This window comes from Homo sapiens, chromosome 12, assembly GCF_000001405.40.
Source record: "Homo sapiens chromosome 12, GRCh38.p14 Primary Assembly".
NCBI classification, from domain to species: domain Eukaryota; kingdom Metazoa; phylum Chordata; class Mammalia; order Primates; family Hominidae; genus Homo; species Homo sapiens.
Genome location: NC_000012.12, coordinates 93,237,683 through 93,254,549, shown reverse-complemented (window position 1 = coordinate 93,254,549; position 16,867 = coordinate 93,237,683). Strand labels below are relative to the sequence as shown.

At 41.5% G+C, this 16,867-nt stretch overlaps 1 long non-coding RNA gene across 1 annotated transcript in view, besides 1 other annotated feature; it reads left to right on the top strand.

Annotated features, from left to right (window-relative positions):
• Nucleotides 1–16,867, top strand: part of LOC643339 (uncharacterized) — a 373,979-nt gene that overhangs the window by 123,187 nt on the left and 233,925 nt on the right. The window lies entirely within an intron of this gene.
• Nucleotides 10,589–10,848: an enhancer, noted in NCBI's record as "active region_6765". NCBI's record gives its function as "activates an Ori minimal core promoter by ATAC-STARR-seq in GM12878 lymphoblastoid cells {active_cell/tissue: GM12878}" and the evidence as "EXISTENCE:reporter gene assay evidence [ECO:0000049][PMID:35858748]".

Sequence of the window (16,867 nt, the reverse complement as noted above, 5' to 3'; positions counted from 1 at the left end):
TGGGGTGTCTAGCTGTAGCCGCATTGTGGGGTGTCTGCCTGGAGCTCCACCATGGGGTGTCTGTCTCAGTTCAGCTCCTGGGGGTTCTCAGTTGGCTCTCCCTAACTAGTAGGAAGAGTCTTGGTTTGGGAGACTTCTCCTCCATCAGAAGATGTTGGGGAGATTTCTCAAATGGAGAATAGTAAGATAGTTTAGAAGAAGTACTCCTGGAATTCTTGGTTAGGGATCTTGATTTGGAAGGCCTTCTGTCTGTCTTGTGTTTATGTGTGTTTGTATATGTGGAGGGGATCTCCGAAGGAATTGCTGACAGAAGTCCAACAGGCCTAACTCGGAGAACCCTCCTTATTTGTGTGGTTACATTCAGTGAACCCTGAAGTAAGCTCAACAGGACTGACTTGGGGTGACTGTCTGCTCTTTGTCTTTCCCAGAGACCACCCATTGAATTACTGTTCTGAAGTCATCCCTCAACCACCTGGAGTAGACCAAAGGCAACAGAAACCAAGAGGAGAAAGTTTGAGCCTTGCCATATCAATATTGGGTACTGAACGAGGTGACTAGTGTCTGTTTTGTTGTGTGTATTTTGTTGGGATGGAGAATGTTAATTTGGTTCCCCAAGCAGCCTGTTGGGCAACATCTTGCAAAATTGAGAATCTTTTGCCTATGGTTCCATAAAACAGAAAGGGGTGATTTTCTTTTGTTGGGTGGCTTGACCCTCACAGTTATGGCACAGTGGTCAGGATCATCAAAAGCCACTCTGTTTCTGTGGAAGCTGCGAAGAAAGAGAACCTGGAAACCTAGTATGCCAGCAAAAAGGATAAGAAAATCTTACCAGCCAAGTTTCGGCTTTCTCTCTCTCTCTCTCTCTCTCTCTCTCTGTGTGTGTGTGTGTGTATGTGTGTAAATGGTAAACACCACTATTTGTCTCCTCTACAAGGGTTTGATTAATAGAAGAAAGGATTTGTGAGACTAGTCTTAGGTTGTAGCAAATCTGGTGTACTTTGTGCTAAGAATTTGTCTTTCTATGTTGTTCTATAATGGAGAGATGGGCATCACAAGATAAAACGTAGGTTTAGAACTCCTATATTCCCGCTTTTCAAGCCAGCCTGGCAGGCTGGTCTGTTACAAACTTTGCTGAGGGTCCCTGAAACGAATACCAGATGAAATTTCTCTGTCTTGTTTTGTGTCCTCAAGAGCTTAACTTTGTGACCATGTGGAGATACTTTCTTTTGGTTTCCTCCAACCAGAGGACAGGAATTTGGGGGTTCATGTCATAGTTAGCCCTAAAAATTATTTTGAACAGTTAAGAGGCTTTGCAAGCTTGGAATTGGCTGCTTTAGACTTCTTCAGGGCACAGCAATAGAAACTGCTCAATGGCGTGTAGCTCAGTAGGTAAGGCTTTGCCTTTTGACAATGGTGGCTCGGGTTCAATTCTTGGCTTCCAGAATGATTCCTTTCTGGTTTGTCATTTGTGTAACTTTGCCACTAATATTGAGGTGTATTTTTCCCCCTGCCCCATGGATAGCTTCTGATTTCCTGATTGGATTTTCCTTTCTCTGAACGACCCTTGTGGAGATTCTAAATCTTGTTAAAAAAAAAAGAAGAAAAGAAATAAATAAGGAAAAAAACTGCTTATCATGTCTTTGAAACACCTTGTGCATCCATGGTTAAGTCATAACCTTAGTTAAAACTTACTAATTTCTCATGGAAGGTTACCTGTGGTACAATTCAAAAGCCAAAAATATTGGCTGTCCTGGGTAATAAGCAATTTTTTTTTGAGAAAAGAACTTTATGGTTAAATTCAACTTAATTAAAAATGGATACCCAAGGTATACATACTTAAAAGGCCTTTATCTTTTTTCCTCTTCTTGAGTTGTGTTTTTCTGAAAAAGTTTTTTTCTTCTCAGTAGACTGAATTGTTTTTCTCCATTTTGTCTTCTTGCCACTGTTAATGTCCACAGGAAAAAACTCAAGATAATTACTAACAACCTGGGACTCCTGGGGAAAAACAGAGATGGCACCACAGACCCCATTCTGGGAAAAACTTCTTTTCCTCATGGAACCCCAGGAATTGAAAACAATAAATCCCTCTCAAAATCTAAGGCTCTGTTTTGTTTTGCCTTGCTTTAGCTAATGGTTTTGACTTTTGAGGGTATCAAATTACTTTATGGGAAATAATAATCAAATTATTTTATGGGAAAGCTTTTAGCCTTGGTGTGTAATAACTAGGTAAAAAATATATATATACTTTAAGAAATGGCTAATGTCAGTTATGAAGAGATACTTATCTCTTTACTTGCTTGGGTCAAAGAAGCATGCTCTTGGCCACTTGGAAGTGGGATATGGAAACATCCCCAACCCCCACTGAAAGATGAGACTCCCGTTGGGGATGGGCTAATTAAAAAATGGGCTGATTGGCTTTGAATTGCCTTGCAATGAAATGCATGGTAGAAGCACTGCACTATCTTCTCTTGTAGTATTTCCCTCCTTTTTGGGGATCCAGGATCCAGTATAAAATGGCACCTTTAATTTTGAGGATTTGTCTTTGCCTTCCAGCTGTGCCTACTTATTAGGTCCTAAAAACTGCATGCTTTCCTGGCCCTGCTCATCCAAGGGATCCACCCTGAAGCCAGTAATCCAATTAAAAAACTGGCAAATGAAAAGTCTTACAACTACTGGATCTTCTGTCTGTCTGTGTATTTATATGTGTGTGTGTGATGTTTATATATAAAAGAGCTGATTAATTGGCTTAGAAAAAAAGCACTTAAATCATATTTTATCAGAAAAATAGAAACTTTAATGCCTTCTTGTTCACAACAAGAAGTAACAACAAGAAGTAACCCTTCAGTTTTAAAGATTATTAGTAAAATAAAAATGTCTTCAAAATTTAGACATTTGGTCTCAATTAAGGTCAGATATTAGATTTGCTAAATGCTTTAAGTCATAAACTGCTTCTTTGACTTTTGAAAATTGTTCAATTTACCTACTTTGGAGTATGATATTATAGATAAGGCCTGGGGACATATGGAAAGCCATGTCCCCTAGCTATGCTGAAAAGGGTCAGTACTCCTGATGTCCTAGGCTCCACACCTCGTACCTAAATAAATCGCCTACTTATTAGGTTTTTCACCAAAAATAAAAGTTGCTAAGAGTTAACATTGTAACATACAATTGAGACTACTGGAGAAACAGTTTTACATATAAGTTGTCAGGTATAGAAGAAAAGCAGAATATAATCTTGGTGGGAGATTATAAGAAGATATGGGAATATGCTTTTTGTTAAAGAGAATGTAATTTTGTCTAGTTCAGAGGGTTTTAAAAGATTGTCTTAACCTAGAAGAGTAATGGGACAAAATCGAAGGTTTAAGCAAATTAAAAAAGGGTTTGTAAAGGGTTAACCTTGTAAAACATTCTGTGGGTATAAGCAAGTTGGCTAAAATTTAAAGGAGATTATTTAGCTTGTTTCTATAGGTTAAAACATTAAAATCATACTGATTTTATGGGCCCATGTGTCCAAATAATACGGTTTTCTTAAAAAATTAATCTGCTGTTTAATGGAAAATTGTAAAGGGTTCTAAAAAGTTTATGGAAATCTTACCTTCTGGTCAAATTAATTAAAACTGAATAGATTTATAAAATTGTATTTGAAAACTACCTTTAGCATTAGAGATGCACTAATGTGGCTGGGCACAGTGGCTCATGCCTGTCATCCCAGCACTTTGGGAGGCTGAGGCGGGTGGATCACCTGAGGTCAGAAGTTTGAGACCAGCTGGCCAACATAGGGAAACGCTCTCTCTACTAAAAATACAAAAAATTAGCCAGATGTGGTGGCGCACACCTGTAATCCCAGCTACTTGGGAGGCTGAGGCAGGAGAATTGCTTGAACCTAGGAGGCAGAGGTTGCAGTGAGCGAGATGGTGCCACTGCACTCCAGCCTGGACAACAGAACAAGACTCTGTCTCAGCAAAACAAAAAAAAAGCAAACAAAAAAAAATCAAAGTTGACTTACAAAGCCAATAAAAGCCCCTTGGGAAAACTGACCTCATACCTTGTCTACACAATCCCTGTACAGGGTTCCCGACCTGTAGTAAGTAAAAAAATGTCACTTTCTAACAGGCTCAGGAGCCCCAAGTTATCTTGGGATGTCAAGAGAAATTTACCCAACTTATAGGTATTTAAGCTTACAAACCCATGGCTGGGCTCAGCTTTAAAAAGTCTTATCTAAGATTCCTTATGGAATAGAGTTCCATCAAAGCCAATTTAAAAAGCCTCTGTGGGAAATAATCATTCTTGCTACACTTTATGCAAATAATCAGACCAAATCTAATAAGACTAAAATTTACTTTTGCAAACAAATCAGTTCTATCATAATTTGTTTTTAATAAAAATGGAAACTAGAAAGAAAAAAATTATGCTTCAAAAAACTATAGTACATCTGGGCCGGGCACGGTGGCTCATGCTATAATCCCAGCACTTCGGGAGGCCAAGATGGGCAGATCACCTGAGGTCAGGAGTTCGAGATCAGCCTGACCAACATGGAGAAACCCCATCTCTACTAAAAATAGAAAAAATTAGCCGGGCATGGTGGCTCATGCCTGCAATCCCAGCTACTCGGGAGGCTGAGGCAGGAGAATCACTTGAACCCAGGAGGCAGAGGTTGTGGTGAGCTGAGATCATGTCGTTGCACTGTAGCCTGGGCAACAAGAGTGAAACTCTGTCTCAAAAAAAACCAAAACCAAAACCAAAACCAAAACAAAACAAAAGTCTATAGTACATCTGCTATTAGCTGTTCTTGAGTTTTTTCTTCAGTTTGGCTAAATCCTAAATTCTTTGTGGGCTACAAGTTCCCAAAGTAATGCTTTAAAATTTTTGCTTTTAAAACTGGGAATTGCATTCCTTACACTAGTACTCATTATTTACGTTATAGCATACTATTCCCTCAAACGTGGTACTAAAACTGCAAATAATAATACTAACGCCTTTGCCATGCAAGCCTTGGGACCCCAGCCAGGCCTGCATGAGTACTTTCAGACAGTTGCAAAGCAGTTCTACTCCCCTTACCTTGGGGTCGACACCTACCCTCACTATGCCCTTGATCAGCAGGAAGAAGTTAGAGCAGTCTTTGCTCTTTTTCCATCTTCAATTGCCAACATCTTGAGGTTAAGGTGTTATAAAACCCAAAGGGAGGGATTGAAACTGCCATTGCAAAATTGTAACTGAGACAGTGGAAGAGATCTGACCTAACTGACTACATCTCGCTTCTAACCTTCAGGCTGTTCTTGTTCATTCCTGGGTGTAGGCTGAATTGACTTTGGGAGGAAATTATTTTATAGTTTATGGTTTAAAACAAAGACAGTAACAATCCTTTCCCAAAACAAACCTTATTGCCTGGGGACTAGACTGCCTTTGTAGGACTAACAAATTAGCCACAAGATTAGACATTATGGTTTAGGAGTTATGCAGTTGGAGGCTACAAGATTCTGACCCTCCCTAAACTGTTCCTAAGATCAGTGCTTGAGATATTTTGCAGACCCGGAACCTGATGGATCAGCTGGCACCACCCAGATCAATAAACTGGCTCATCTGATCTTGTGGCCCCCTGATCTTGTGGCCCCCCACCCAGGGACTGACTCAGCCCAAGAAGACAGCTTCAATTCCCTACGATTTCATGTCTGACCCAACCAATCAGCACTCTCAACTCACTGGCCTTCCCCCACCCACCAAATTATCCTTAAAAACTCTGATCCACAAATGTTCAGCAAGACTGATTTGAGTAATAATAAGCTCTGGTCTCCTGCCCAAAAAAAAAAAAAAAAAAAAGGGAATATTTCAAGAGAAAAACAATCTTAACCCAAAGCATTCCTTAATAATGGTGGAATTTTAGGAGGCAGAGGTGTTTAGGGGTTGGGGGGCCTTCCTGGTAACACTTAGGTCAGATCTCCTACCTTCCACCAAGCTGTTTCTCTCCCAAAACAGGGCCTTTGCATGTGCTATTCACTTGGCCAGGATTTTGCCTCCCATCCTCATTCCTTTCACTACTTAGCACCTACTCATCTTGAAGGTCTCAGTTGAAGCATCACTTTCTCAGGGAAGCCCTTGCTGACCTCTTGGACTGGGTCAGATTCCATTAATGGTGCTCACGGCACCATGACCATGTCTTCTTAGCACTTGCCACAGCTTCCATTTTCCATACATTTATGTGACTATTCGATTGTTGGCTGACTCCCCTACTAGATACCAAGTTCCATAAGGGCAGCAGTCAGGCTTGCTCTTGGTCATTTGTATCTGCAGCATGTGTACCTTATCTGATTCATGGTGGGCCCCTATTAAATAGTTGTTGACCAAATAGACCAGGAAACTTCAGTGTCTTTAGGCGTCTTCCTTTTTACTCCTGTCACCCCCACTGTCTTATGGAAGCCAAGAACATACATCAGTATCCTTCTACACAGAAGCTTGTAAATATAAAACGTGGCAGAGCAAAGCAAAGGATGTTAAGTAGTCTCTTTTTTCCTGTTCCTTCCACATAGTCCCTTCACAATGCTCCATACGGACACAGTGCCAATGAGGCATGCACATGCTTGTGCCTGCTGGGGGTGAAGCCCATACCAAGCACATCATAACACTCCTTGGGACAAACTTTAAATAACACAGGCATAGTCATACTGTGGCCAAACCTGTGGACCCGAGCTTGCTGTTCAAGGCCCACAGCTCCAGGACACTGTCCTTTGCAGAAGTTGATTAGCATGATTTGGACCATTGAACTAGAACTCCCTACCTCCCTAAGCAAAGCTTAATCTCGACTGTTTCTGCTTCTGTATTGGAAAAAGAGCTGTCCAGCTTTTGCAGATAAGATCAGGGCCATTTATGAAAGCCGTCTTTACCTTTCTTCTCTTTCCTGCAGGCTGTGATGGTCACATATGGTTATTGCTGGGTCTACATCACCCTGGGAGATTTGTCTAAAAACTGAAAGACAACACTCTGGCCTCAGACCAAATGTGGAGTAGAAATGGCCTAGCTTCTTGGCAGCTTCTCAGTTCCACTGACAGCAGCCTTGCTTGTGGAGGTGGCTGGTATCAGGAATATCTCGAGCTTGGGTCCTGGGAAAATTTTTTTCTGTTGCTTTTGTCAGGAATGGGGTGAGGGAAGCTTTAAAGACTCTCTCTCTCTGTCTCTCTCTCTCTCTCTGTGGCATATTTTACATCTTTTTCTTTCTTTTTTTTTTTTTGAGACGTAGTTTCGCTCTTGTTGACCAGGCTGGAGTGCAATGGCGCGATGTTGGCTCACCGCAACCTCTGCCTCCCGGGTCCAAGTGATTCTCCTGCCTCAGCCTCCCGAGTTGCTGGGATTACAGGCATGCACCACCATGCCCGGCTAATTTTTGTATTTTTAGTAGAGACAGGGTTTCTCATGTTGGTCAGGCTGGTCTTGAACTCCTGACCTCAGGTGATCCACCCACCTTGGCATCCCAAAGTGTTGGGATTACAGGTGTGAGCCACCGTGCCTGGCCTACATCAAATATTTTTTAAAATCCTAGAACAAACCAAGATAGATTTCGCTCTAGGAACAGCATCTATCTGTCATTTATAATTGAGACTTTTTAATGTAACTCTCAAGTTTGAGGAACAGAGATTAATTTACATCAAGTGTTTTATAATTGCAATTATTTTGGAGGAGTGAAGGTAGGAAAACAGATCATAATTTAGATTACATGGTAACTTTTTCACACAGTTTAATAAGAAGATTTAAGATGGAGGATTTGGGATCGTCAACCCAAATAGACTTCATTGTTCTTCCAAAAATGGCACGCACAATAAAAGAACAGTGATAATAATAGTGATTACATGTGTGGGCTCAGGTATTGGTTTGAAATCTCAGGTTATTCACTGTGTGACTTCTGGATAATTAAGTCCCTGAGCCCATTTGCAAGCCAGGAAGAGTAATTCCTGCCTGTAGAGTTGTGAGGTGTTTTTTGTTGTTGTTGTTGTTTGTTTGTTTGTTTATTTTTTACAGGATCTCACTCTCTCGACCAGGCTGGAGTGATGTTTTTGATATAAAAACCTATAGGGGGCTGGGCACGGAGGCCCATGCCTGTAATCCCAGCACTTTGGAAGGCCGAGGTGGGTGGATCACTTGAGGCCAGGAGTTCGAGACCAGCCTGGCCAACATGGTGAAACCTCATCTCTACTAAAAATACAAAAATTAGCTGGGCATGGTGGTGCGTGCCTATAATCCCAGTTACTCAGGAGGCTGAGGCATGAGAATCGCTTGAATCTGGAAGGCAGAAGTTGCAGTGAACTGAAACTGCGCAATTGGACTCCAGCATGAGTGACAGAGTAAGACTCTGTCTCAAAAAACAAACAAACAAACAAAAACCTGTGGGGTAGGCAGAGTGTGGAGAGAAAAGAAAAAAAATCCGCCTAAGGGGTAGATAATCTTAGCCAGGTTTTTAGATAAGAAAACTGAGGTCCGGGGTGGTTAGGTGACTAGCCCAGAGTTGCACAGCTAATAAATGGCAGTATCTCAGAACCAGGACCTACATTCAGGTTTTCTAATCCCAATTTAAGGAATTCTTTCTATTATGCCACAGCACTAAAAGTTCAACTAAAATCAGATTGAGAAATTTAAAAGTGTATATTCTATTTATATAACAAATTATGATACTCTCTTATTAGCCTGGAAGAGCAATTTGAAATTTTCAGACAATTTCATTCACTTGCTCTCTGTAAGCCCCAGGAGGATGTGGGTTTTTTCAGATGAGAAGGTATGGAGGATTAGGGGTTTACAGAGCTTCTCGAAAGTCACAGGGCTAGGTTGGGGGCAGGTGTGCTGACAATAGTGCAGCTGCAACTAGGCCTGCCCCCAACAGAGAGTCCCTCTGTGATCCTGCAGGGCCTCGCCAGCACAGGGGCGGGCACCAACTAGACTCCGATGAGTGCGAATTCACTGATAACAGTTAACAGTATTGAATGCCCCAGCTGTGCAGGTTGGGAATTACCTGTATTTTCCCACTTAATCCTTAAGATAATCCACCAGGTTTTTTTCGTTTGTTTGTTTTGTTTTTGAGACAGAGTCTTGCTCTGTTGCCCAGGCAGGAGTGCAGTGGCACGATCTCGGCTCACTGCAACCTCTGCCTCCCGGGTTCAAGTGATTCTCCTGCCTCAGCCTCCTGAGTAGATGGAACTGCAGGCATGTGCCACCACACCCAGCTAATTTTTGTATTTTTAGTAGAGATGGGTTTTCGCCATGTTGGCCAGGCTGGCCTTGAACTCCTGACCTCAAATGACCTGCCCACCTTAGCCTCCCAAAGTGCTGGGATTACAGGCGTGAGCACCACGCCCGGCCGCTACCAGGTTTTGGAGAGGTCATAAACTGAGGAGTGTTCTGCCTGATTCTAACATCTACACACTCACCCATTACATACATACATTCCATTTTGATAAATCAAGTCAGGCTTGCTAATCTTAATTTGGTGCCCTTTCCAGTAGTAATTAGTTTTACTGTGGGCCAATAAAAACCAAGATTCCATATCAAGCACAGAACAATTCAACCAACAGATCCCTAGAAACCTATCAAGAAGGAAGAAAAAGAGATTAAGGAGATTTGGGCAGATCCTTCATAGCTCTCCTTGCAACTTTAATCAACATACAGCATGTTCTCGCAGGGGGAGGTCCCCACCCTCAGCATTGAAAGTGAAATAACACACTCTGTGTTGCTGATCCTGGATTGAAACGTATGACCTACAGAAACTCAATGAGCTTGAATTAATGTTTGTTAAAGAAGAAATATGGTTTTTAAAAGTAGTATCCTTTTGATCCCTGACTGCAAAATACTCAGCTTGGCGCTAACTTAGCTTCTTCCCCTATATACCGTGTCTCTCTCTCTCTCTTTCCCCATGTTGTAGCTATTAAGCACAAATTGAGGACCATGTGATCCTTCATCCTGAGTCAAAAGCCTTTCAAGCTCCCACCCTGAGCCATCCAAGATTCCTTAACTTTCTTTCAGCCTCTATAAAAATCAATTATTGTTCTGTTTTATATACGTACACTGAACCTCTCAACAACAGCTTGATTCAGCAGAACGCTCTGGTCTTAAACTTTTCAGTGAAGCAGTGAGTGGTGAAAGCTTTAGTGTAGCTACTGAACTGATCCTGACAGCAATAAAGGAGAAAAAAAAAGTTTGCTTCCGGAATTGTTAAGAAATGTTTTGCATTGCACAATATCTGAACCAGGAGGGCAGCTCATCAGCTGAACATATTGCCACAGAAGTGCTTCCTCCTGAAGTGGGAGGGGTTGAAAGACAAGAAGGGTCACAGGTAGGAGCTGACAAAGCTGGCAGGCAAAAGCAGCAGAACATTGAACAGAAAGGCACTGAGAATCTCTGGATCTGAAAAGTGATCAGCAGGGTAAAGGATGGCCAAGGACAGAATCCAGTCTTCCTCTTGACCACAGTGCAGCTGTTCTTTTTCTGCTCCATGAATTTGCTAAGGGGGGAAAAAGCAACCCCTGGCCTGTCTACTGTCAAGGACAGTGAAATATGCTGGGTCATGACCAAGTTGTTTCTTAGCTTCCCAGAGCTTCTAACCACTAGACAGCACTATCTCTAGTCCTTGCCGGTAAAATCAAAATTCAGTGCTCTACAGAAGGCAGCATGGTGTAGAGGAGTGCCTCCCAAACTTTAGTCTGCATGGGAATCACCTGGAGTCCTGTTAAAATAGAGATGACTGGGCCCCATGCCAGACTTTCAGATTTAGTAGATCTGGAGTGGGGCCAAGAATTTGCATTTCTAACAAGTTTCCCAGTTGTTACAGATGTTGCTGGTCTGGGAACTATGCTCTGAGAGCCTGTGGTCTAGAGGAGAAACACGGACTTGGGAGTAGACAGACATGGGTTCTGGTACCAGTTCTTCCACTTCCGGTGTGCCTTTGAGAGAGCTGCTTCTTTGAGCTTTGGTTTTCTCATCTGACAGGACAGATAATGGCAGACAATGGTAGTGTGGTTAGATGCATGGACTGTGACTGTGTTCCGATCTGGCTCTGCTACTGTCTATGTGACCTTACACAAATTATTTTCACCTCTTTATCCTTCTATTTGCTCATTTATAGAGTGGGGGTAATAGCAGCATCTACCACGTAGAGTTGCCTTGAGCCTTGAGAGAGTGAGACTATGTAAAGCATTTACAACAGTGCATGGTACATGGGAAACACTAGATAAACATTTGCTATTATGATTTTTTTGCACTTGTTAGAATTACATGGAATAAAGCATGTAAAGTGTCTTATGTGACATCAGACGCATAGAAAGTGTCTAGTAAATGTCAATTTCCTCTCCTTTACCCAAAACAAGCAAGTCAGAGTGCTGACCAAAACAATGTCCTTTAAGTGGAGATCTTAGCAGAAGGGTACAGTCAAGAAAGATAACAGCATGAGGATTTTAGCTGTTAGTGGGGCAGAGTATGTCAGATGCCACCTCTTTGTAAACTGAGGGGTCCATGCCAGCAGGGCCTTCCTTTGAGCAAAGATCAGCAACTTGGACCATTTGGACAACTTCTGCCTGGTGTTCACAGATGTGGGAAAGGTTTAAGGAACTCCTGGCAGTATATTGAAAGACCAGCATTCCCTTTGGGGAGAAGGGCTGGAATTAGCTAAGCATAGCTCAGGGCACACAGGCATCCTCATTTAAAGGCTGGCAGGACTCAGGCTAATTCATTTCCTTCATTTTCCCCTGCCCACAGATCAAGGCAGCCCTAAAATTACCACGGAGCTGATTGCTGAGGGCTAAGACAGCTGTGGTCATTTATCTTCCTTTCTGACCATGTTCTCTGGAAATGGCCTGTGAATAAACGGCAGGATGGAAGGTTAGATAAAACTGTCCATCATCCCTGTTGTATCCAGTGAGAATCTAGGGAGTTACTGTAGGACAAAGCATCTATATACATTTTGCGTAGGCTATATATTAATAACTCCCTCTTGGATATTTTTGATACCCAGTAGTATACCCTAAAGGCCCTGAGAAGTCCCACAGTGAAGAAATGATGCTTTTTATTCTTAACTCATCAGTCTTCAAATTGTTTGACCATGGAAACGTTTTTTCATTTAGACAAATAATTCCTCTTAACATACGGTAGCAAATGCTGGACCAGGCAGAAATTTAAATGTCCAGATGTGGAATTGTTTAAACAGTGAGGGCCTCTGACCTCTAGGGGGAAATAGATTAAGTTTCCAGATGCTTTAGTTTTAGCTTAGATTAAGCCATATATCAGTTTCCAAATGTTTTAGCTTATTGCTCGATCCATACTAAGTACTTGTCAAATGCTGGCTCTCCAAATATCACCAACACAACCTGCTGATAAGTCAAAGCTATCTGTATTGTTTATTGTGGTAGGGAAGATCACCTCCTAGGCAGAGCTTTGGTAATATCTCTGAGGGGAAAAAAGCAAGGTTGTATTTTATTATTTAAAAAATTATTTTATGCCTTCCGATCAGTGGTGAATTAAAAAATATGTTTTATTGGGAGTTTGGTTTAAGGTGATCTTTCGGTAAGGGAGCTTGATGAAGATTGAATAAGGATAATAACACAACAGTGTAGAATTGGAAACAGCAAGGAAAGGATTTTGAGTTGAGGGATTTGAAGATCCTTAGGGTGTTAACCGTCTGCTGGTACTTCCTGTTGAAGAGTGAAGGATCTTTTTGGGAAGTTTCTGTAATGAATAATCAAATTATTTGCTTAGGCTAGAATCTCCTGGAATAGTAAAGTTATGCTAATGAAGACAGTGGAGTAGTAAACTTACGTTAATGTAGGAAAGAAAGTGTATGTATGTGTGTGAGTGAGTGTGTGAGTGTGTGTGTGTGTTGAGAGGGAGAGAGTTAGAGAGACAGGTCAAGTCCTTAGTTCCCAAGCTGTGTATATGGGATAGATGGTTTTCATTCTCATCCTTAATTCCTGAACTTATTATATGGATGTTGCATGCTTATGTATTTTATTTTAGTTGTTTCTGCCAGGCTAGACTGAAGTGGGATATAACCTGAGGATGTTACATGTGTGTTGACTGTAGTCTACGTCACTGTTGAGTTTCCACTGTGTGTCAATGCCAAGACCACCACCACTTCCCTTGAATGTGTATTGTGTCAATGCTTGCAGATAAACTCACATTATCCAGAGCTGTGAAACTTCTCTTAAGAATGCTGTCATCTGGGGACATATCAGCAAGAATGATGTCCATTCCTTTGTTGGATTGTAGTATATTTTGGGGCAAGGAACTTCAACTTGGAAATGATGAAGTGGGCCATTGTTTGTTTGCTGAGGATAGAGCCTCCTAGAAGTAGTGAATCCCTTGGTAATGACCATGATGAGGAATGCATTGATGTGGACTGCTTTCCATTTACTGAGGAAGTTCATATGGCTTTAATGTCTTCCTTATTTTACAAAAACAAAATAAAGAATGTCACTGATCACTCAAGTTTTATATGACATTTTTGAAGAAAATGATGAATTTGGTCTTCACAGGATCAAAGTATAGAATGAATTACAGGTTCAATAATAAAATTGAACTGATATCTTTGATAACAATAAATTTATATTCCATGAATTAAATGAGTTAAAAAAATAAAATCTTTAATCCCAATCTCTGATGTCATATGACCAACTCAGGAAATATTTTCTGTGAAATTATTTTACCTTTTCCTTTGGAGAACTACTTTTATCTCCAGGTTATTTAATCCTATTTGGAAAAAAGAAAAATTCTGGGCTAATGGCACAATTACTTTGAAAACAGAGGAATGTTGCTACCTTACGTACTATCAAACCTCTTCTGTTACAAGTTGATATGATTCTATTGCAAAAATAAAAAAGATGTGTCTAAGATCTTGGATAGTACAATTTTAATATTGACTTTAATAATCAAATACTAGTTGAGTGAAACCAGGCCTAATTGTTTAGATGGCAGGAACTACCTGAATTCATGAGAAATCTGAAATGCAAACTATATTTTAAGGACAAAGGATGTACAGTAAGTGAAGATAGTTCAGCTCAATAATATACATTTATTGAAGTCCACACCAATTGCAGCATTATGCTAGATCCTGGGAATTCAAAAATCAGTATGAGCTAGTCCCTGTCCTTGATCTCATTATCTAGAATGGGAGAATGAAGGGAAAAGATGTAAGTCAGAATATAGTAGGTGCTATGATATGGCACAGAATGCTGGGGGTCAGTTGAAGGCTTCTAGAAGAGATGATGTATTAGTTATGTATCACTGCATAACAGTGACCCCAAACTTAGTGGATTTGAACAATACACATTTGTTATCTCATATTGTTTTTAAGGGCTCGAAAGTCTGGAGGTGGCTTAGCTAGGTTGATATGATTTGTCTGTGTCCCCATCCAAATCTCATCTTGAACTGTAGCTCCCATAATCCCCACATGTTGTAGGAAGGACCTGGTGGGAGGTAATTAAATCATGGAGGCAGGTTTTCCCATGCTGTTCTTATGATAGAGAATAAGTCTCACTAGATCTGATGGTTTTATAAATGGCAATTCCCCTACACACGCTCTCTTGCCTGCCACCATGTAAGATGTGCCTTTGCTCCTCCTTTGCCTTCCACCATGATTGTGAGGCCTTCCCAGCCATGTGGAACTGTGAGTTCGTTAAACTTTTTTTGCCTTATAAATTACCCAGTCTCAGGTATTTCTTCATAGCAGTATGAAAATGGACTAATACATGAGTAGTTCTAGCTCAGGGTCTCTCCTGGGTTGTGCCCATCTGAAGGCTTGACTGGGGAAGGATCCACTTTCAAGATGGCCCGTTCACATGGCTGTTGGTAGGTGGCCTCAGTTCTTCACTATAGGGGCCTTTCCATAGAGCTACTCACAACATGGCAGCTAACTTATCCCACCTGAGTTAGGGATCTTATTGTGAAAGTGAGAAAGGCAAAAGTCACAATTTCTTATAACTTAGTCTCAGAAGTGGCATTCCATTGATTGTACAGATCAACCCTGATACCATATGGGAGAGGACCATACAAGGGTGTGAATACCAGGAGGCAGGGATTGTTGGCGGCCATCTTGGAGGCTGGCTACCAGAGATACTTCCTAAACCTAGTAGAAATTCCTAGGAAATATGACTTGACAAATTATTATATTATTATTTTAAATGTTTTAATTAACTGATAATCTTAGCTGATAATTTTAACTAAAATATGAAGGTCCATGTATAAAAGGAGAATAATAATTGTAGCCAATATTTATTGAACTCTTTCTATAAAGCAGGTACTGTCAAACCACTTTAATCATCTAATTGAGAGGGAGGACAGGATAGTGTTTAAACATCTGGATTCTAGAGCCACATAGACTTTTAAAAAAATATTGACAGGTTGAGGCAGATTACTTAAGCACTCTGTGCCTTGATGTTCTTATCTGTAGACAAAAGGAATAGTATTTCCTTCATAGGATTTGAAACCGCCTTTACAAAATTTTGACTGAGACAGTGAAAGAGATCTAACTTAACTGACTCCATCTTGCTTCTAACCTCCAAACTGTCCTTGTTCATTCCTGGGCGTAGGCTGAACTAACTTTGGGAGAAACTTAGTTTATAATTTATAGTTTAAAACAAAGATGACAACAGCCCTTCCCCAAAGCATACCTCCTTCTTGCCTGGAGACTAGGTTGTCTCTGCAGGACTAACATTAGCGACAAGATTAGAAATTATGGTTTAGGAGTTATGCAGCTGGAGGATACAATATTCTGATTCTTCCTAAACTGCTCTTAAGATCAGTGCTTGAGATATTTTGTAGGCCCTGCACTTGATGGATCAGCTGTCACCAGCCAGATTGATAAACTGGCTCATCTGATCTTGTGGCCCCCACCCAGGAACTGACTCAGTGCAAGAAGCTGGCTTCTTCTTTTTTTTTTTGACACAGAATCTCGCCCTGTCACCTACGCTGGAGTACAGTGGTGCAATCTCAACTCACTGCAATCTCTGCCTCCTGGGTTCAAGTGATTCTCCTGTCTCAGCCTCCCCAGTAGCTGGGATTACAGGTGCGCACCACCATGCCTGGCTAATTTTTATATTTTTAGTAGAGATGGGGTTTTGCCATGTTGGCCAGGCTGGTCTCGAACTCCTAACCTCAAATGATCCACCTGTCTCAGCCTCCCAAAGTGCTGGGATTATAGGCGTGAGTCACCGTGCCCAGCCAAGAAGCCAGTTTCTGCTCTCTATGATTTCATCCCTGACCAATCAGCACTCCTGGCTCACTGCCTTACCCCCCACCCACCAAGTTGCCCTTAAAAGCTCTGCTCCCTGAATGCTCAGGGAGACTGATTTGGGTAATAATAAAACTCCAGTCTACACAGCTGGCTCTACATGGATTACTCTTTCTCTATTGCAATCCCCCTGTCTTGAGAAATTAACTCTGTCCAGGCAGTGGGTAAGCTGAACCCCTTGGGCAATTACAGATTGTCTTGAGGGTAAAGTAAGCCCAGCCTTTGGCCTGTCTCCTAACTGGAATACTTAGGTGCAGAAATCCAGCTTGTCTGTCCATCCTTTCTTTCTCTCCTTCCTTCCCTCCTTCCTTCCTTTGTTTCCATTTTCTTTTTTTTAAAACTATTGGAAGACTGTAAGACATGGGCATCACATTGGACTGGCCCAGTAGGAAGCAAGGAAATCTAGTTTAGAGTTGGATGTACTACACAAAGCAGGCTGGTCTACCCCCATGAGGCCAGTGAGCTGGGCTGGGTTTCAAGTTGTCAGTCGACTGCCTTGCTCAATCCTCTTGAAAGAACAACAACAGCAACAAAAATGTGGGTCACCCTGTGGACTATTGGGCAAGTATCTGAATGCTCCCTAGGGCAGCTGCTCAGTGGCTTGGAACAACCCAT